General features: G+C 41.2%; 1 protein-coding gene across 33 annotated transcripts in view, besides 2 other annotated features; it reads right to left on the bottom strand.

Annotated features, from left to right (window-relative positions):
• The window catches only part of SULF1 (sulfatase 1), a 194132-nt gene continuing 172510 nt past the window's right edge, over positions 704-22325 (bottom strand). For 21 of the 33 annotated variants that reach the window (NR_182051.1, NR_182053.1, NR_182050.1 and 18 more), the window contains 2 exons: positions 20775-20808; positions 704-3111 (listed from right to left, as the gene is read on the bottom strand). Coding sequence is in view for 24 of the 33 variants with exons in the window: in NM_001412835.1 (NP_001399764.1) it covers positions 3081-3111; positions 20775-20808 (65 nt within the window). In the remaining 9 variants the exon portion in view is untranslated. Of the gene's footprint in view, positions 3112-18039; positions 20809-22325 lie in introns of those variants that run through there. The other 12 variants (NM_001412828.1, NM_001412851.1, NM_001412846.1 and 9 more) reach the window with 3 other exon arrangements.
• Positions 16983-17534: an enhancer, noted in NCBI's record as "H3K4me1 hESC enhancer chr8:70556317-70556868 (GRCh37/hg19 assembly coordinates)". NCBI's record gives its function as "activates a minimal SCP1, AML or CMV promoter by ChIP-STARR-seq in naive H9 embryonic stem cells {active_cell/tissue: H9 hESC(naive)}" and the evidence as "EXISTENCE:reporter gene assay evidence [ECO:0000049][PMID:30033119]".
• Positions 18735-18935: a silencer, noted in NCBI's record as "peak7064 fragment used in MPRA reporter construct". NCBI's record gives its function as "represses an SCP1 promoter by STARR-seq MPRAs in K562 erythroleukemia cells {active_cell/tissue: K562}" and the evidence as "EXISTENCE:reporter gene assay evidence [ECO:0000049][PMID:32103011]".

Here is a 22325-nt window from a genome sequence, read left to right as displayed (position 1 = left end):
AAACTTGGTTTCCTCAATTATCCAAGGGTTGGATTGGTAGGTCCCCTGACCCTTTGCTTTCTTTTTTTCTTCTTCTTATTTATTTTTAACCTTCTGGTCTCTGGACATTTCACAGATTTTTAGCCCCTCAACCTGAAGGCTAAATTTCTTCAGGAGATTTGGAACAGACAGAAGGAAGCATATGGAATTTGTGTATCAAAAAACTTGAGATCTTGAAGGGTGTTTAGGTTTCCACCCAAGTTCCTGGTTCCTGAAGAACCGACACTGCCTTCAGTGGGTCTGTTCTCTTGGTTTTGAAAAATTCCATTTTACTGCCCAGAACCATTTTTGGTTCTGCCCAGACCTGATTTGCAGGGCCCCCGTGGAAAATGAAAATGTGGGGCCCCTTGTTAAAAAATTATTAAGGATTTCAAGGCGGTGACATCAGAGCATTAAACCAAGTGCTGGCCCTTTGTGACCATCTAGGTTGCCTGCCGGGAAAGCTACCTTGGCGCTGCCTCTGCTGCCTCCCTCAAGACAGCAATGAGGTAAATCCGTGGTGAAGTTGTTAATCTGAGAACGTTCTATAACACATTGACTTCAGCTCCATTTTATAAGTTTGGTTAGTATTCAATCATGTAAATAGAGATCATGACTCAATTTTACTTGCAAGAAATGGGTGTACCACAAAAACTTGGTTAAGTTCATTTCTCTGAAACAGAAAAAAGTTTAAACACCTTTTATTTGAAGAAATATTGCTTCTAGACTTTCCTGAAGCCAGAATTGTTCTATAAAAGTATCATGGAATATTATACATGATTAAAAAACAGAGTATGCTTCCTAATAACTTGAAATCTTTTTACAAAGCACATTATTCATGATCATAAATATGTTTGTTCTGTCATCCCACCGATGATACACACATCAGGCAAGCAGCTAATTTGAACATATGTACAGAGTCTATGATAAAGATTTAAAGTTACCAAAAAGATTCAGCTATAACATATTAAATTTTCTTTAAAAGAGTTTACCATAAACACTTAAAGAAAACATAATTTATCTAAGCACTTGAATTATCTAAAAATAAGAAGAAAACCTCTCTTAGGGTAAGCAAAAACACATCATCTTGGGGAGCTGAATAGGAGGGTACTGATGACTCAGTGAGGTAATCCTTTAGCTGGTATTTAAAAACCTAATACACAACAAGGATATTTTCAAGAATACAGATTTTCAAAAGCAATTTTGAACTATGTCTTTAAAAGATATCAGAACTTGGTGAAGGTCTTACAAATAATCATAGAACACAATGTTAAGAAATTAACTTCTCTTGTGGTATGTTGAAATTGTGGAGCATTCATGATTTTCTTTTATTGAGAAGTTCTTGGTGTAAATTCAAAACTAGTCATATTTTATCAACATTTAAGCTTCTTAGTCATGCCAAGAAAACCAAAAAAGATGAAAATAAAAGATCTTTAGATCTTTTTCTCCTGTCAAGAAAATAACCCAAAATATAGCAATCTTAAAGGTATGATGTATGATGAACGCTTTGAGGCTAGGCACAGAGAGAGCAGGCAATCTTCATTTTGTTTACTTATTTATTTATTTTCACCACCAACATTATTAGCCATGCCTTTCTGCTAATCGATTTTAGCAAGTCGAGGTAAAACACATGCAACATTTTCTGGCAAAAGCTTAATGTCAAACAATATGTGATCCATACTGTGTGTCGTCCTTGGGGGTTTATTTGACTTTGTCACAATGACAGCCAACAGTGAGACTGATAAGCCTGTAAAAATAAAAAAATAAGACTAATCAAATAGACATGGCATTTTAATCTCAAAGTGCAAAATCATCTAACTGAAAATGACGGCATTGAAAAATTCCAGTGGTTAAAAATGAATCAAAACTTCATTACGCAGGCAGTGGAAGTGTGTTGAAAGATTTACCAGGGGTGTCAAGTTTTAGACACTCAGAAAGGCACCATTCTAGCCATCTTGATTGGATAACATGTATATACTTATGTCCCTACGATATTCAAAAGATAATACTGTTTTAGTACAAAACAAACAAACAAGCAAAAAATCAAAACCAAGCCAACCCAAATATCCCCAGCCTTTCTTTCTACTCTTGGCAGATAGTAAATTATAACGATGAGTCTCCGTGTGCACACCGCTTGCTCACATGCTCACTAGCTTCTACTGCACAAAGGTACCCAGGGTAGCTTGGAATGTTGGTGGCTGTGATTACCTTTATTAGTTTACAAATAAAAAAGTTAAAAAGAAATACTGTGTTTAGGGTAAGGTAACAGTTTCATCTAATCAGAGGAGAGTGAAGAGGAGGCGCTGCCTTCTAGGTGCTGTGACTTCTCCTTTTCGTGATTCTTCTCCACCTTGGTCAACATCTTCCCCGCTATGCTGGAATTACTTCGGTGTTCTGCGGTGGCCATGGTGAACATCTGATGAACTGAAATTCCATCGGAATGCACAGGAAGATATAGTTGATCTTCAAAAATGTCCTTTCCAGGACCACCATACTGGGGAAGTTCTTTCGGGTGCCTGCGAATGGGCTGCAGCCTGGGGCTGGGCCCGAGCTCTAGCTCTGTCATGCCATCGCCACTGAAATCGGTTTCCAGATGATTAGTCTCTTCATGCCCCGTCCATTTTTCGGTTTTTCTCCAGTGTTCAGAATTCAAATGATTAACTTCTGGAATGTCGTTATTCCATTCAAGTTTACTCTCTGGACTTAATGTTGGTCGGTTCAAATGCAGGGTTTGAAGGTCAGCTGGCAAGGTCAAATGAGGTGTTTTCCCAACCTTATGCCTTGGGTCTTCATCTGAGTCAGCAGAGGCCATCTCCATTGACACAGCGTGCTCAGCAGAGACAACCAAGAACCCGTCACTTTGAGCAGTTTGAGTCTTATTTGTTTTATTTTGCTCATAGTGACTCTTCAGCAGTGCAAATACTCTATCTAAATCCTTCAAGTAATTAGTCCAGTCCACCAGACTAAGTCTGTAGTTTTGTCTGTACTCATAGATGTTTTCATTCACACTGTGTAGCTCCTCTAGGCCTTGCCAGTTGATGTCTGCAGTGAGACGGGGCTGATTAACCTTCCCATCCATCCCATAACTGTCCTCTGTGAAAAGAGAGAAGAAGGTGAATCATTAGTGGAGAAAAGGCTTTCTACTTACCTGGACAAGCAACTTACATTGTTTTTACAGAGTTAATCAATGAGAAGTATGACACTCAAAAGCATTTTCCCCTAGTCATTTGTTATCACAGAGTGGCCTTAGGTTACAGGTGATTAAACAACAGAAAATTGGGGAAAAAAAAGATCACATTCGTGAAAACATCTATGACTAAGCATGGTTAGTGCTGAAAATGGCACGGTCCTTTCAGCCAGGGGATTTGGGTTTCACTCCTGGCCCCACTCAAATCAACTTTGCAACCAGAAGAGCATGTGAGTGAGTCCCTCTGAGTCTTGCTCCCTCATCTGTCAAGTGTAGAAATAGTTGTATGATAAAATCATTACTACTTATAAGGTTGCTGGGTGAATGACAAATTTGAAAGTATTTGAATGTAATAGGCAATGCTTAGTATGATATTTTTATTTTATATTCCCTAACACTCAGTATAAAAGCAAATCTGAATGCAATTAAGCTCTTCAAATCAAATGCCTGGATTTATTTCTTTGATTGTTGTTTTTGCCCTGAAAGTTCTATGTCCTAGATAAATGTGTGCCTTAGATAACTGAATGACTTTCTCATATGCAAAGAAGGCACCAGCTTTCTCTCTCTCAGATCTTTCTACATCTCCAGGATGACTGTAGCCCTGCAGAAAATAACACTTGTTCTCTAGTTGTGCCTAAGTACCATTTGGAAAGAGGTGGCCTAGATGAGTGCAATGACCACCCATAAAGCCATACAGACCAGCAAGAAGAATAAGCAAAACTATACCAAACCCACAACCTCGGTCTAGCTAGAAGATAGAGAATCCTACAATCTTCAGATCACGTGTAGATAAAAAACGTTGACACCAAATCCCAGCAGAGCTGAATGTCACACTGTGGCCACAAGCTCTGGGAAAACAGTATGGAAGAGAGAAGAGGGAAGTGTCAGTGGAGTCAAAGATTGATTGGAGGCTGTTGGTGGAAAGAACGTCAATCTTTTGCATAAAATACTGTAAAGATTCCTGGTGAGCCACAGCACTGACAATGAGGATGGGACCCCTAAGTCCCAGCCTTGTGCCTGTGCACGATTGAAGGCAGCAGTCTGGGAGGCATTGCTTAGGGCAGAAAAGGACACAAAGGAAGAGAGAAGGGAGAAACAGCCATTGGAAACTGGGTGGTAAAACAAAGAGGAAGCAAAAGATGGGAAATTTCAGATCCTGCAAGAAAAAAGAGATACGAAAAGTTGGAAGACACACAACCTCTCTCACTTTCACTCCCAAATAATAATAAAATAAAAAGGTAAAGAGGAAGTATACTTAGTTACACTCACAGAAAAGAATTCTCTTAAACCAGGAGGGTTGTAAATAGTATAAATCCATGAAATAAAAGAACCTAAATCTATATCAAATTACCATAAAAGAAAGTAGAACAATGAGATACCATCTCATGCCAGTCAGAATGGTGATTATTAAAATGTCAAGAAACAACAGATGCTGGCAAGGTTGCAGAGAAGTAGGAACGCTTTCACACTGCTGGTGGGAGTATAAATTAGTTCAACCATTGTGGAAGACAGTGTGGTGATTCCTCAAAGATTTAGAACCAGAAATACCATTTGACCCAGCAATCCCATTACTGGATATGTACTCAAAGGAATATAAATCATTCTATTATAAAGACATATGCACGTGTATGTTCACTGCAGCACTATTCACAATAGCAAAGACATGGAATCAAACCAAATGCCCATCAATGATAGACTGGATAAAGAAAATGTGGTACATATATACCGTGGAATACTATGCAGCCATAAAAAGGAATGAGATCATTTCCTATTCAGGGACATGGATGAAGCTGGAAGCCATTATCTTCAGCAAACTAACACAAGAACAGAAAACCAAACACTGCATGTTCTCACTTACAAGTGGGAGCCGAACATTGAGAACACATGGACACAGGAAGGGGAACTATCTAACACTGGGGCTTGTTGTGGGGTTGTTGGGAGAAAGAGAGCATCAGGGAAAATAGCTAATGCATGCTGGGCTTAATACCTAGGTGATGGGTTGATAGGTGCAGCAAACCACCATAGCACACATTTACCTATGTAACAAACCTGCGCATCCTGCACATGTATCCCAGAACTTAAAAAAATAAAATAAACAACAACGACAACAACAAAAATAAAGTGGAAAACAAGAATTTAAAAAACCATCTTAAGAAAATGCTCCTGGCGAAATAAACTATAAAGTGCAGAAAACCACAACACACCAGTGCTGTGTGAATTAAATGTTCTCAATCAAGCATATGAGGATGGAAAAGCCATCTGAAATCAGAAATTCAAATATGAACCTAGCATCTCATATCCAGTCCAGATCTCCTTCAAGTATCAAGGCTATAAAGGAACAGTTTGAAACACACAAGAATGCAGGGGATACTGTGCGCATCAGCTCTTCTTCAGCAATCTTCCAGAGGCTGTGACTCGTTTGTCCAAGAAATCAATGGGGAAATGGAAGCAAAAATATAGAGGGTGCACATTTAATAGATTTATCAGATCTAGGATAAAAATAAAGGTAGAAGAAGTGTGAAAAAATAATATATGCATTTTATAGGACACGCTAGAAATAATGCAACTAAAAATGTGAGAGGGAGCACAGACCAAAGAGAATAATCTCATTCAGTATGATTCAGGTAATAGCTGGGAGTGAGAGAAGCCATTAAAAACTGTCTAATGAGATAATGAAAGGTTAAATAAGATAACAGGGATTTAGACCGGGCATGGTGCCTCATGCCTCTAATCCCAGTAGTTTGGGGAGGATGAGGCGGGTGAATCACTTGAGGTCAGGAGTTTAAGACCAGCCTGACCAGCATGGTGAAACCCTGTCTCTATTAAAAATACCAAAAAAGAAAAAACACAAAACAGGGATTAAGGGCAATAAAAATGTGTAAGTACAAAGACAATTACCAAAAGAGCAACTATCTTGATAAAGAAGAAATTATAGAAGATGCAATGAGAAATATATAGAAACACAATAGGTGTTATCAGTACAAGGGAGCAAGAGTAAATAAGAATATGTATTGGAGTATTACGGGCACCATCAAGTGGACCTTTTGGTGTGCTCCCTTGTGGTAGCCACTGGGGCTCATAAAATGAGTGGGTATGGGGGGTGGTGCTGCAGCCATGCAGAGATGGGCTAAGTCTGGACCTATTCCTCTTGCACTGTCAGACATATAATGCCAAAAAGAGAGTCAGAGACTGCAGATGGCTATGGGGCAGATTCCCCTGGGGTAGGCACCCCATGCATAGCTGGTAAGTGGATTACATGGGAGCAACCAATGCCAGTAGCCCCGACGGGATAGATCAGGGTCTTAACAGAAATAGACACTTACCCCAGGCTGGGTTTTGTAGACCCATTTTAAGCATTGCATCTACTTAAATGCAATGCAAATGCTTAAAATATTATTACAGGATAGGAACGGAAAATACTGTACTAATTTGGACCACCAAGTTACATTTCTTCAGATGAAAGGACACATTTTATAGCCCATAATGTCCAAAAGTGAGCAAAGATAGCTCACATCAAATGGACGTATAATGGTGCACATTATCCTTAGAGTAACAGTTCCATAAGAACAGGAAGGAATGGGCAGTTAAAACATTTGCTGTCTAAAATGTGGGGAGACAAAAGCATTGAAGGCTGGCTTACATACCTTCACACTCAACATAAGGGGGCTAAGGGAGTGTCCCCCACTGGACAGATTTCTCTGCTTTGCAGGAGGATAAGAGGAGAGGGGGCAGGAGAGGATGCCGGTGTGATGATGCAAGTCTTCTGCACAGCACTTCAACTTTCTTTTTTATACGTGATGCAGAGATGCAACTGCTGGTGTTGGAAGCAGGGATGTTTCCTAAGCAAAAAACCCTAATTATACTTTAAAACGATGTCAGAATTCCTAAGGGCCTGATAGGGCAGGTTGTGCCTTCACCCCATCTGGCAAAACTGGGGTTAACAGTGAATGCAGGTATACTGCCTGGTGGTTAAAAACAGTTCATTAGTTCTGCACCTATATAAACTTACTCTATTTGAATGGGAGCAGACTGAGCAAGAGGTACTTGCTAGCCTATTATTGGTAGTCTAGTGATAATACTAGACTAGTATTGCTGCCTGAAGCCTAGAGCAGCACAGTGGCTGAATCTAATGTCTCTTCCGAAGGTGGAAAACTTTGGTCATAAATGGAGAGATGGAGGAATAGTAACTGAGGCTGAAGGAATGAATAAGTGGGTTACGTCATGAGTCATGAGAGAAATCCAATATTACATTAACAGCTTGAAAAAGGCTCAGAACAGGAGATGACATTGTCTCTTAGCTCCATTATACCAGACTCCTAAAAGGGTGAGGTCATATATTGCTAAGCCACTCCTGGCAAGATCCAACAGAAGCTGGCAAACCTGAGTGGCCTTGCCCTAGGAGGTATTTTCATATGACAGAATGATGGACTGGACTAATTATTGATGGCTGAATGCAATTCTAGGAATGTGCCAATATCTTTTGACTTTTATAATCTTCTCACTACGGGGTTCATGGCCAGGGGACTAGGGCATAATAAGAAAAATGTATTTGGTCTACCCCCAGTTCACAGAGATCCTAACGCCCTTGCAATCTCCAGGGAGATAAGAGTGTCTTTTATATGCTGAGGAGATGGCTAGGGTACCCTAGACAGCTCTAGGTTGGGAGCTGGGCTGATCATCAGAAAGACCTCCACATGATTAGAGAGTTGGGACTCTCAGACCTCTGTGGAGTGGACAGGGGCCTGGAGATTGAGTTAACTACCAATGGCCAATGATGCAATCAATCATGCTTATGTAATGGAACCTCATTAAAAATCTTAAACGATAACAGGGTTCAGAGAAATTTCCAGCTGGTGAATGCAACCACATGCCGTGAAGGTAGCACACTTCGAACTCAAGGACAGAAGCTTCTGCGTTTGGGACCCATCTGGACCTTAGCCTATGTACCTCTTTGTCTGGCTATTTATTTGCATTTCTTATAATATCCTTTATAATAAACTGGTAAATATTTTAAAAATCGTTGAAATACACAAAATTAAAAACACAAGAGATGTGGCTCATGCCTGTAATCCCAGCACTCTGGGAGGCTGAGATGGGAGGATTGCGTGAGCCCAGGAGTTTAACAGTAGCCTGGGCACCATAGCAAGAACTCACCTCTAATAAAAATTTAAAAATTAGCTGAGTGTGGTGGCACACGCCTGTAATCCCAGCTACTCAGAAGGCTGAGGTGGGAGGATCACTGGAACCCAGGAGGCTGAGGCTGCAGTGAGCCATGATTGCTACTATACTCCAGCCTGGGTGACAGACGGAAACCCCATCTTAAAAAAAAAATAAAAACAAGAGACTACTTTGCAGACCTCAGTGAGAACAAATTTGAAAACCTGGATGAAACGTAGTTGCTCAGGAAAATAGTTTGCCGAAATTGATGCTGTTAAAAGAAAAACCTCAGCTGAATTAAGTTTAACAGAGTTTAATTGAGCAAAGAACGATTTGCAAATCTGGCAGCCTCCCAAGCCAGAGTAGACTGAGAGACTCCAACGCAGCTGCGTGGTGGAAGAAGATGTATGGACAGAAAAAGAAAAGCGACGGACAGAAAACAAAAGTGAAGTACAGAAGCAGCCAGATTGGTTACAGCTCAGTGTTTGCCTTATTTGAACAGAGTTTGAGCAGTTGGCCACCTTTGAAGGGCCAAAACTCAGTGATGGGCACAAGAGTAGGCTACAGTCTGTATACAACTCTATTTAGGTTATAGTTCACGATATACAGAGAAACCTTTAGGCTGAACTTAAAATATGTGAGGAGGCAGATTTAGGCTAAACTTGATTTAACAACCCAATATAGATAGAAAGCTTAAATAGAACAGTTTCCATAGAAGAAAAAGCAAGCCCAAAGAACCACTGTGCAAAGATGCATCAGGTCTGTGGACTTTCACAGGAGAAGTTTAACAAATCTTCAATGAAAAGAGAATACTAATAGACTGTTCTAGAGCAGATAACTCAAGAAAACTTCCAAACTCTTTTCACGAAGCAAGGATAACATTGATAGCTGTGATAGGCAGAATAGTGGACTCCACCCGGCAAAGATGTCCACATCCAAATTCCTGGAAACTATGGACAAGTTCCTTTACCTGGCCAAAGGGACTCTGCAAATGTGACTAAGTCATGGATCCTGAGATTGGGGTGGGGGAGTATCCTGGAGCATCCAGGTGGGGCCAGTGGGATCTCAAGAGTCCTTATAAAGGGAAAGGGAGGTGGTAGGAAGGAGGGGTAGAGAACGAGATGTGACCCCAGAAAACAGAGGAAGGTGGGGGTTGGGGGAGAGACTGATTTGAAGATTGGCTACATTTTTGTATTTGAAGATGGCAGAAGAGACCATGAATGAGGAATGCAGGCAGCCTCTAGAAACTGGAAAAGCAAGGACATTCTTGCCTCGAGCCCCCAGAAGATTTCAGCCCAGTAAGATTCATTTCGAATTTCTGACCCCTAGAAACACAAGAGAATAAATTTGTGTTGTTTTAAAGGCACAGTGGTAATTTATTACAGCAGTAATAAGAAACTAATATATCTAAGAGATAATGCTGGTAAAAACAAAAAGGAAATCACAGATTGGTATCATTTAAAAATATGATACAAAAATCTTAAATAAAATATTAGTGAACAGAATTCAATATTACGAAAGCAACACACAATGACCCAGTGGAATTTATTTCAGGAATGAAAGGATTCATTCTTACCAAATCTATTAATATAATACACAATAATAATTTAATAGATCTAAAGAGAATAATTATCTGAGCATCTTCATAGATGCTAAAAAAAGCTTTTTGACAAATTCAACGTTCATTAAAGATAAAAGCACTAAAAAAAAGAACTGATGGCTATTTCCTTAACATGATAAAAGTATATATAACTCAGTCCTAAAGCTTGCCTCTTATTTAATAGAGAAACTCTAAAAGCATTTTAATTGAAATCAGGAGCAGGGTAACATTATATTGGAAGCATTAGGTCACTCAATTAGACATATCTCTACATATCTGTAGGTACAACAATAGATGTCGAGGCTGGGCGCGGTGGCTCATGCCTGTAATCCTAGCACTCTGGAAGGCTGAGGTGGGCGGATCACCTGAGGTCAGGAGTTCAAGACCAGCCTGGCCAACATGGTGAAACCCTGTCTCTACTAAAAATACAAAAATTAGCTGGGCATGGTGGCAGGTGCCTGCAATCCCAGCTACTCGGGAGGGGAGGAAGAAGAATGGCTTGAACCCAGAAAGTGGAGGTTACAGTGAGCCAAGATCATGCCACTGCACTCCAGCTTGGGAGACAGAGCAAAACTCTGTCTCAAAAAAAAAAAAAAAGAAAAGAAAAAAAAGAATAGATGTTGATAGATGCCAGTGTGTCTCTTAGCTCTATCCATCAAAAGGATCTATATGCCAAGACACCTCAGCAGCAATTTTATACACCTCAGACCCAGATCTTGGTGTTCAAATGCCATTCCCCTTTAAAAGGAACTGGGGCCCTTTGGAGAAATGGCTGTTTCCAAATGTGGAGTGGCAAAAATGCCATATGAACCTGGAACATGCTTTTAGGCCAGAAAGCAACGAGGTGGTCAAAAAATGATGAGGATGCTTCAAAAGTACACGGAATCCAGGTGCAGGGACACCAGTGGCCAATCTAAGACACTTTAATCATCAAAATAAATAATGATAGCAAGAGAATATCCATGGAATAAACTGAGAATCTAAGTCCATACTGATAGAAATAAATACGCAGGAGAGGAGGAAAATCTCTTCTTTCATATTTTTGAAACAGGGTCTGGCTCTGTCATCCAGGTTGGAATGTAGTGGTGCTATCTCAGCTCACTGCAAGCTCTGCCTCTGAGTAACTGGGACAACAGGTGCTGGGACTAAGCCCAGCTAATGTTTTGAATGTTGTATTTTTAGTAGAGATAAGGTCTTGCTATGCTGCTCAGGCCGGTCTTGAACTTCTGAGCTCAAGCACGTATTCCTCCCACCTCAGCCTTCCAAAGTGCTGGGATTACAGGTGTGAGCCTCCATATCTGGCCGGGAAATCTCTTCTTTACAGTACAATACTACCTAAGAAATGCAGGAGGAGCCAGGCACGATGGTTCATGACTGTAATCCCAGCAATTCGGGAGGTTGAGAGATGGGAGAATCGCTTGAGCCTAGGAGTTTGAGACTAGCCTGGGCAATATAGTGAGACCTTGTCTCTACAAAATAAATTTTTAAAAATTAGCTGAGTGTGGTGGCATGCGCCTGTAATCCCAGCTACTTGGGAGGCTGAGGTGGCAGGATCCCTTGAGCCTGGGGGGTCAAGCCTGCAGTAAGCCAAGATTGCAACACTGTACTCCAGCCTGGGTGACAGAGCAAGACCGTGTCTCAGACAAAAAAAAAAAAAAAAAAAAAAAAAAAAAAAAAAAAAGCAAGCAGGAGGAATTACAGAGTGGGAGAAACCATCATTTGCAACCATCATGGTAACAACAAATGATTCAGGCAGAAATGAATCGTGAATGCCTTAAAAGCTGGTAGATGAATTACTTATTAATTAAAAAAGAAAAAAATTATAGTGGCTTCACCTAGCAAACTCCACCTTTGCCAAGTAATCAAAGGTAATACCACCAAGATGTTATGCAGCTCCTGATAAGATATCCCGAGAGCACAATATGTGGTATTCCTGACAAAAATCCACAGCTTCAATTCAATCCTGATGAAACATCAGACAAACCCCAACAGAGGGACATTTTACAAAATAACTGGCATGCACTCTTTAAAATATCATGACTGATAATGAGAAGTTGAGGAACTGTTCCAGATAAAAGAATACTCTAAAAAGAGGTGAGTTTCCTGCAATGTGTGATTCTGGATTGGATCCCAGGCCAGAAAAGCAAAAAATGATGAATATGGCATTATTGGGACAATTGTTAACATTTGAACATGAAATGTAGATTTGACAATTGCTTTGTAACAATGTTAAATTGCTTGATTTTGATAAATGCATAACAGTTATGTAAGAGAATGTTTTTGTTCTACGGAAATACCTCCTAAAGCATTTATATATAAAGGGGAATGATGTTTGCAAATTACTTGCAAATGATTCAGAAAAAAAAGGTGTGTGGAGAAAGTGAGTGAAAGAACAAGAAAAAACAATAAAGCAAATGGGGTAACAGTTCTTGAAATTATTCTTGCGACCTTTCTGTAAATGTAAAGTTATATCAAAATAGAAAGTTAAATTTATTCGACATTAGAACTTAAATTTTCCATGTGTCTCCTGGTTTCTGCCTGTCTTCAGCTCAAAAAAGGAAACCTTTTTCTTTGGTCGTTTGGAAGCTGTTTATTCAGAGAGAAAAGGTATAGATAGGCTTGTTCTGACAGGTGAATTTTCAGAATAAATGTAGATGATTTCACATTACAGATAATTATTCCCCAATCCCGGAAACAGAAAAGCCGTGAATCCATTAAGACAAATTCAAGAACATACCCAGGTCGCAAGCCAAGTCACATTTCTTTCTGGATGACACTTACTTACTTTTAAAAACTTAACCACAGAATTACATCATGCTATATTCCACAGACGGGTAATTTAAGAGATCATGCATGCATGGAATTTTAACTCTACCTGGAGCAGTGTTATAATTAACAGGTGCTGATGGTGTCATAAGAAGCAGAAGGGATTGTTTCTGCAGACACAGGCTGACTTCTGCAGCTTCTGTGGCCTCTTCTCTTCCCCTTTGGCACATCACCTCTGTACCAGCCACAGGAACAAGTGCAATGTCCTGAAAGTACCAGGCTCTCTCCTTCCTCAGTGTTTGTATTTATTTCTAGAATGTACTTCCCTGCCTCATTAGCCCAGTCAGCTCTCAGCCTTCAAGAGGAGCTCTCATCCCCTCCACAGAGCCTCTCTGGCCGTTCCCCTGGGTTGTGTGAACCCCTCCATTATGGCATCATCTATACCTGATTCTGGGTACCTGTGCTCAGTAGCAAATTGAATTTCACCGGGCCAGGTGTCTACAGTTTCAAGAAGCAAGCAATGGGTCGATCAGAAAAATCATAAAGCATTATATGTAGTTTGTTGCTTGTTGCTATCTGGCAGGATATTTTAATTAATATAGCTATTCTCTTCCAAGTCTCATTTCTAATGGTACTAATTTAAACTTCACAATGGGAAGAGCCCGAACAGACTATCTGCGTTAATACATCTGCTCCTTTCTCCTAAGCCCTTCCATGTTTTGCTGAGCTCTTTGTTTTTTTTTTTTTTCTGAAGGCACAGGGTTTCCAATATTTGGACCAAACTGGTATTCATCTTGGGTGATTTTCATGCTACTTGAAACATAATATGTTTTAGCTTGAAATGGAATTTGATTTAGGCTTTGAAATTTCAGAGGTTCTGATTTTGGCGTCCTGCTAGTATCCAAAAGCAAATTGTAAATTGGCTTTTTGATACTAGCAGGACACCAAAATCAGAATTGGCCATAGTAAAAATACCATAAATTTCTTTCTTTTTTGAGACAGAGTATCACTCTTGTTGCCCAGGCTGGAGTGCAATGGCGCGATCTTGGCTCATTGCAACCTCCGCCTCCTGGGTTCAAGCCATTCTCCTGTCTCAGCCTCCCGAGTAGCTGGGATTACAGGCATGCACCACCACGTCCGGGTAATTTTGTATTTTTAGTAGAGACAGGGTTTCTCCATGTTGGTCAGGCTGGTCTCGAACGAGGTGATCTGCCCACCTTGGCCTCCCAAAGTGCTGCGATTACAGGTGTGAGCCACTGTGCCTAGCCGTTTTTATTTTTTTTGTAAGGTGAAAGGAAGTTTATTAAGAAAGCAAAGGAATAAAAAATGGCTACTCCACAGGCAGAGCAACCAGAAGACCATAAATTTCTAACCTACATAATTTTATGGATGAATTGTAGGAATAGCTATTTATTTTACAAATGAAAGCCAATTAATGTTCAACCCTAAAGATAGTCTAAAAATAGAAATAAATATATATGTCATTTATAGATGACTACCTTGTGTGTGGTTAATGGCTGATTATATCTACTTATTGGTAAATGCACATAACTTTTCCTCTTTATTAATATAGCATTGACATTAAAAACTGCAATTTTGTCATCCATTAATGTGAAGATAAATGTCCTTCAAAATTCCAGGGCTCAGCCAGGCGCAGTGGCTCATACCTGTAATCTCAGCACTTTGGGAGGCTGAGGTGGGAGGATCACTTGAGCAGGAGTTCGAGACCAGCCTGACGAACATGGTGAAACCCCATCTCTACTAAAAATACAAAAATTAGCCAGGCATGGTGGTCTGTGCCTGTAGTCCCAGCTACTAGGGAGGCTGAGGCAGGGGAATTGCTTGAACCTGGGAGGTGGAGGTTGCAGTGAGCCAAGATTGTGTCACTGCACTCCAGCCTGGGTGACAGAGCAAGACTCCACCTCAAAAAAAAAAAAAAAAAAAAAAAATTCCAGGGCTCTTTGATACAATTTGTCTCTCACTAATCAAATTTATTATCAAACTTCAGTCATACAATAATATGAATTCAGGGCTTACTTTTCAGGTAATATCTCATGAAATCCTTGTGTATTATTATGTGTATGTATTATCACCTTTTTAAAGATGAGAAAATTCAGCCATAATAAAAGAAGTTAAATAAATTGTCCAAGAGAATCAGTATAGTGTAGAGATGAACAGCACAGCTAGAACCAGACTCGCTGGGTTTGAATTTCACCATTTATCAGCTGTGTAATCTTGGGAAAGTTATTTAGTCACTCTGTGGCTTAATTTCCTCATCTGTAAAATGGGGATAATAAGCTGGGTGTGGTGGCAGGCACCTGTAATCCCAGCTACCTGGGAGGCTGAGGCAAGGAGAATTGCTTGAACCTGGGAGATGGAGGTTGCAGTGAGCCAAGATGGTGCCACGGCCCTCCAGCCCAGGCGACAGTGTGAGACTCCGTCTTAAAAAAAAAAAAAAAAATGAGGATAATAATAGTACTGACCTCACGAAGTTATCGAGAGGGTTACATACATTAATATACGAAAGCATTCAGAAGAGCGCTGGACCACAGTAAGTGTTGTAATACTGTTAGCAACTGGTCCTCAAATTGGGAAGTGATGGAGCCAGAACTGACCCACAAACCAATGTGACTCACAAAACTATTCTCATAACTATTTATGCCACCTAATCTGATCAGCCCAAATCCTCTCATATTATTTCTCCCAGTTTAATACTCTTGAATGTCTGCCTATTGCTTTTAGGACAGGGATTACATCCTTTGATGTAGCATGTAACTAGGGTGACCACATTTTTCGTTTGCCTGGGAGGGTCCCAGTTTGTATCTGCTGTACTGGTACCCTGTTCATTTTGGCATTTGTCCAGAATTTTTGACATTTTAGCTTAGAAAATAGTTTTAAATACAACTGTTTTATAGATCTACTGACTAGTTCATTGGTAAACAAATACATAACAATATTTATATAGAATTAATATAAATAATAATTAATATAAATAATTAACTATTTTTAGTACTCCTCCCCCATGGTCAAAACATCCCTGTTTGGAAGATACATCATATCATCATTCTCCATATAACACACTCCATAAAATAGGCCCTGGTTGCCTTTTCAGCTCATCCTTCTCTTCTCCTTCCCTTGCACTGTCACGGAACTGATGATAAGTCCCCACACGAGTCTTGCCTTCTGGTTGGACTGACTTCCTTTTCCATCCTGTGTCTGGATCACTGCACTGTTGCCTTCAGGATGCGGCATAAATGCCAACTCCTTGGAAAGCTTCCTTTGATTTCTCAGGGTTGGGTTGGGGCCCTCTCCTGGCTCTTATGACGCCATATATTTCTGGTCAAGGCACTTTGCATCGTGCATTCTAACACCAGACTGCACTCCCTGTGAAGGCGGCGTTTGGCACAGAGGTGGTTGTTTCGATTCTTTCTGTCTTTATATGTTGCATGGATGAATGAGGGCACATTTTCCCCCTATATATTGGAACTGATTAAAGATACATTTCATTCCGCAGCCTGGGGAGGATCTTAAGGAGTTCTGCACGTGCTATACTTTAGTTTCTTCTCTGGCACAAGAAACAAGGCCTTTGGAATAGGGTCACTATTGGAAAGGTAAGAAAAATGATGAACACCCTCTGACAGCTTAGACTAACCCAAGTCTGACCTTAACCTTACCAGGGTGGCCACTGTTGTCACCCCTGCCGCTACCCAGCTCTCATGGCCGAGCTTTGGCTGGATTTTGGTGCCTACTGGCCGCTCCATGACACACCTCTGTGCACGCAGCGGCCCTGGCTCTGACCTACATATACCCTAACGACTTTCACCCCAAGTGTCCTCAACACCTTAGGGGGGCCAATCTCACCTCCAGCCCATTTAACCCCAAACCCTGCCCCTGCTCCATCTCTTGTTTGAGCATCTGAAACAGAAAAGTCCAACAGTGCTAGTAAGACAGCTTTAAAATAAGGTGGAGTCCCTGAGATGTGACAGGGAGAGGAGAACCCAGGAAGCTCCATTAGGGTAACCTACATCAGGACAGCGCAGGTTTGTTTTGTTCTTCTCATCTCAAGAGGTTCAGGCAGTTTAGAAGACGGACTTGAGTGCTCAATTCTTTTTTTTTTTTTTTTTTTTGAGACGGCGTCTCCCTCTGTCACTCAGGCAGGAGTCCAGTGGCGTGATCTCGGCTCACTGCAAGCTCCGCCTCCCGGGTTCACGCCATTCTCCTGCCTCAGCCTCCCGCCACCATGCCCGGCTAATTTTTCTTTTTTTTTTGTATTTTTAGTACAGACGGGGTTTCACCGTGTTAGCCAGGATGGTCTCGATCTCCTGACCTCGTGATCTGCCTGCCTCGGCCTCCCAAAGTTCTGGGAGAGTGATCAATTCTTGGTTGCCTGTGACTGATGATGGAGTTTGGTGGTGCTGGTGAATACCTTTTTGTTTCTTATAAAATATACTAACACGCTTTGGAATTCATATCACTGAAATTCCCTTTCCCATACTCTTTCATCCATATAAATGTCCTGCATTCAGCATTATCCTTTACCAATGACTCCACCACTTACTGGGGCTTGGCGCCTGCTAGGGTCTGTTCTAAGCATGCCCACCAGCGAGGCTGGGATTTGAACTCAAACTAATCAGGAGCTCCAGCGTCCACCCCCATGACCACAGTGCCGTACAGCACGAACACACGGCTGTGTCACCCACAGCCACCTTTGGCACACACTGTCACTATGGGGGAGATGAGTCAAAATCAGTGAAAGCAATGTGGTTACAGCGTGGCTGCTGAGGGTGGAGCTCTGTGTGGTCTAACAGCCCAGAAGGCTTGAAGCAAAGGATCAGGAAGCAGCCCTGCCAGAGGAAGGCTGCCAAGAACTGACCGCCTGCCCCACACACCCCCGGGACACATGGCCACGGCTGCCAGGAGCTCCTCTTGGCCATCAAAGGGCAGCAGCACCAGCTTTCATACGCAGTGGGGAAAATAAACACCCCAACAACCTGTTGATTTTTCTCTATTTTGCAACACACTTAGAAGATGCTGCTTTCAAATGAGCCACAAATTATTTCCTGAGTCATGAGTGCCACCTTCTGAGCTGTGCTCTCCCTTTGAGCTTGTCCTAACTGGAAAATGACCAGGGTGAGTATGCAAAGCATTTCAGCTGCCCCTCCTGCTTCACACACAGGGAACAGCAAAAGGAAGAGAAAAGAAAAGATAGAAAAGAAAAGAAAGAAATTGAGCAGCAACAGAAAAAAACTTGCTTTATGAAAACCCTCTAAATAAGTCTGAAGGTTAACTTTTGAAATCCACCAAAAAGAAGTCAGTTTAAAAACATTTATTTAGTTCATCTTGTACAAGATACATTTAAAAAAATGCTCTGCTGAATTTTCAAATTTCAAATTCTTCAGATCTGGTTCTTATCATTTCTCTCAAAATCTTTTGTAATCAAATTTCACGATAAAAACTTGTTTTTTTTTTTTTTAGTTTTCTAAAACTGTCAAAATCTAAAAGAATTAAGACACTGAAACCTCCTAAGTGGCTCCATCAATGGAGGGCTTTGAACTGTTGAACCCCATTGGAAGACAGTAGTTTTCCTGGCATTTCTGTACATACTTGTTTTGCATCTGTTCTCATTCAATCCAATAAGATACAAGGAGCAGGTAAGGCCACATCAAACACTGCATTTGGGTGTTTAGTGAATTCCCAGGTGTGACTAGGCAGATATTTTCTGAGAAACCAATGTCAAGATTTCCTGCCCACCATGTGGATATCCACTGAAAGATGGCTTGCCCTATGGACTATGAAATGGCAAAGTCTGAAAATGCCGGTTATTTCAAGTTACACAGTATCCTTAGATCTGCTCTCTGGTAAGGAGCTTAGAAGGGGGAAAAAAAAAGCAACAGGTAACACCATGTTGCCCCTGCATGCATGCTTTCAACAACTAAAGTTGCCAAGATTATGTGAAAGTGACCTCAGAAACAATTGATTATCTGGCCGATTGAGTGGTGGTGGCAGGGATCAGGGAAGGGGAGGGTCCCAGATGCTTGTCATTTACGCCCAAAGTGCAGTTAAACATTCTTCCTTTCAAAGTTGGCCAGGGGTGACTTCATGGAGAATGACTCTCTGACTCATCCCTGACCAGCCTTATGTCTTAAATAATCTGTGAACACCCTTTTATCTCTTTCATGACACTAGACTGAAAAACCCTTAGCTATAAATTGAGTGCCTCATAAAATAACTGTAAAGTCAATATTTAGAGGTAGGTCCATTTATAATATTACACTTTGAAAATGTCTTAATGTGACCGATGGGAGGCAGGGAAGATCGTCCTGGTGTGTGGGATGTTACCTCAGCCCATACCCAGGGGAGACCAGCTCAAGGATGGGGTCTTCTGCTCTGTCTTATGTGTGCTGGGAGTGACACAGGGTTGGTGTGGGGCAGATTGAGGACAGTTAAGATGAAGAACAAGAGAAAATAGAAAAAAGAAGACATACATACATGGCTATAACATATACCCAAAAGTCCACCTTCCTTTGTTTTCATCTTCCCATCACCTTTCCTGTTGTCATTTGGCTTCTTGGTGGACTAATGACCTTCTCTCTAAAAGGAAGCATCTGAGACCATAGCTCTGGAGGTTAGAGGGGCCGAACAGGGTACCAGGAACAGCAACATTCTTTGGGATGTTAATTTTAAAGATATTAATACAGATGAAGAAGATATTAATATAGATAAAGAAGATATTAATATAGATAAAGAAGATATTAATATAGATGGCACCAATTAAGTTCACATTTCTTTGACGGATGTTTTTCTCCCAAGTGGATACATTAACTAGGGTACTGGTAACGTCTGTGCCTCAGTTTTGTCTCAGCAGAGGCGGTAAGGACAGTGCCCAGCTGCTTCGGGTGGCAGACCTGCCTGAGGTCTGTGCTCAGAGTAGAAAATTAGCAATGGCGAATATTGCCAGGTGACCAAGTGACACGGCCATCAGGAGCGTGCGTCCCCCCTCCAGAGCACAGTGAGGGATGGATGAGGGTTGGAGGGGCATAAAATGACAGGGCTGAGGGTTGTTTATGGAATGTTTGTGTGTTGTCTTGGTGCTGTGTTGACACTATTGAGTGTCTTTATTTTTTTATTTATTTATTTATTTTTAGAGACAGGGTCTCTCTCTGTCCCTCAGGCTGGAGGTCAGTGTCACTATCATAGCTCACTGCAGCCTCAACCTCCTGGGCTCAAGCGATCCTCCTGCCTCAGCTTCTTGAGTAGCTGAGTAGCTGGGACTACAGGTGTGCATCACCACACCTGGCTAGTTAAAAATTTTTTTTTATCTCACTTTGTTGCCCAAGCTAGTCTCAAACTCCTGGACTCAAGCAATCCTCCCGCTTGGGCTCCCATAGTGCTAGGATTACAGGTGTGAGCCACTGTGTGTGGCCCTTTACTAGTATCTTGACTCCCGGTACTCTGTCCCCAACTCCCAGCACCTTCTCGTTATTCACCACCTCTCTGCAGAGCTTTCAGAATCTTACGGCTGCTGCTTTTCACCACCAAAGTTAATGAATGAACATCAACAAAGAAATTCCTTGTTTCCTTCAACTTCGGCCTTACAGTGCTCTTAAAATTCTCATTAGTCATTTTGTGCCTTTGATGCTATATTTAATAAAAATCTCCAACCCATTTTCATGAAGCTCCCCCACCAAATCAATGTGTAAGTACCACAAAGAAAATAAATCTCCCACCCTTTCCCGGGGCTCCCAAAGGCCATTCTGTTTTTTTTCCTTCACATCATTCCATGCTTAAAAGCATCATCCAACAAGCAAACAAGCATGGGAGTGAGTAAATGCTCTGGAACATCTTGATGGGACAGTGAGCTGATTTAAAAGCAAAATGACAGTTCTGTGATCAATGACAAAACATAGTGGAGAATGCTGTTAGAACAAGCATGCACCCCCAGCTTTGCTCTGTGCAACACGGTAAGAAACAGAAATTAGTTGAAACCACTGGATCATGCAATTATTGGGGAAGAAGCTGTTGAGAAGAATAAAAAAGTGTGAATACCTGTGTAGGTCATAGCTTCCTCCATCTTTATTTCCTGATATAGGAAAATACAAGAGTAATTTCTGTTAGCTTTAGAACTTATAAAACCATTCACTATATAGTTTTTCATGCACAACATCTAAATCCTAGAAAGAAACACATGGTGTTAAATACAGACAGTGCTGAAGCCCAACAGAGATTTCCTATTAGGTTCAAAATGCAGATTGAAAGCTATGAATGAAAAGGTTTAAGATAAAAAAAAAAATAAGAGTTCATATGAAAAAAATGGGTGGGTGTTAAAGGGAGGAGAGCCCACTTAAAAGCAGTGGGAAAAGTACTTCCAGAAGTCCATGTAATTCTCAGGAAAAGTTAAATTTTGGTTATTTTTAGACAAAACATTGGAAAAAAACGGGCTAATAATCATCTCCCATAGGAATAGTCTGGAAGGTGGAGAGGACGGCTTGAAGTGAAACAGCATAACTGGCTCCACCCAGTGTGTCATTTCACCATTAAGGGACTCGATCAGATTTCACTAAGTAGAGTTGTTATGTCACCACCAATAAAAGTCCTATGTTCTTTTGGGGAGAAATATCTGGGTATAATATTTCTAGTGCCTCTAATGGTTGGTTGAGATTCCAAGTCTTTGCAGGCTCTTTCTCTCTCTCTCTCTTTCTTTCTTTTCTCTTTCTTTCTTTCTTTTTTTCTTTCTTTCTTTCCTTCCTTCCTTCCTTCTTCCTTCCTTTCTTCCTTCCTCTCTCTCTCTCTCCCTCCCTCCCTCTCTCTCTCTCTTTTTTTTGTAAGATTTGAGGAAAAGGTCAACAGATAAGCAGGATATTTGAAAAGATTTGAGCCGAGTGGGGTCAGTGACCAAAAGACCTATTTTGCAAGTACAGTCTGCTCTTGACTGACAACTGATTCCACTAAGTGTTAATTGAGAGGTGTTGATTGAGAACTGAGGATTTATATTTTCTTAGGGGACTCCCAGAACTCAAAAGCCTTTGTGACCCTGCAGTGGAAAGGAGATGACAGGTGGTGATATTGATCATTCTGGGATGGGAATCCCTACCCCTTTCAAGGCATGTGACCCAGAAAGCTGCCCACTTTTACTGTTGATGACACTGGCTCTGCACCAGACTCACAGAGAAAACCCAGCGGCACCACAAAAAGCTCCTGCAAACTGCACCCAAGTGCCTGTGAGTCCAGCTCTTCACCCTTCTGGAGTTGGCATGCCATGCCAAGGTCCATGCCCTTGCCAGCTTTAGTTCTTCCTCCTTCCTTGTATGGACAGCTGGTATTTACATTTCTGCAGACATCATGAGGAGGAAATGAGTATTTTCATTAACCAGAAAAGAGCTGGGGCGGACACTGAAAAGAACTGCATCTCCATGAAACAAAGGAGAAATAAGCCAGTTTAACACACATAGCTGGGAAGGAACATCTGGCTGATTCCATTCAGATCCTCTTATATTTTTAGATCCCAAGTTAATGAACTGCTCCAATATCTCTAGTTTCAGACGAAAAATACTGGCAAAAGAAATCTAATTCAGTGTCATAGGCAGGGATCCAACTGGG

This window comes from Homo sapiens, chromosome 8, assembly GCF_000001405.40.
Source record: "Homo sapiens chromosome 8, GRCh38.p14 Primary Assembly".
In the NCBI taxonomy this organism is placed as follows: domain Eukaryota; kingdom Metazoa; phylum Chordata; class Mammalia; order Primates; family Hominidae; genus Homo; species Homo sapiens.
The sequence above is the reverse complement of the archived record's forward strand: the minus strand, read 5'-3'. Positions and strand labels throughout refer to the sequence as shown.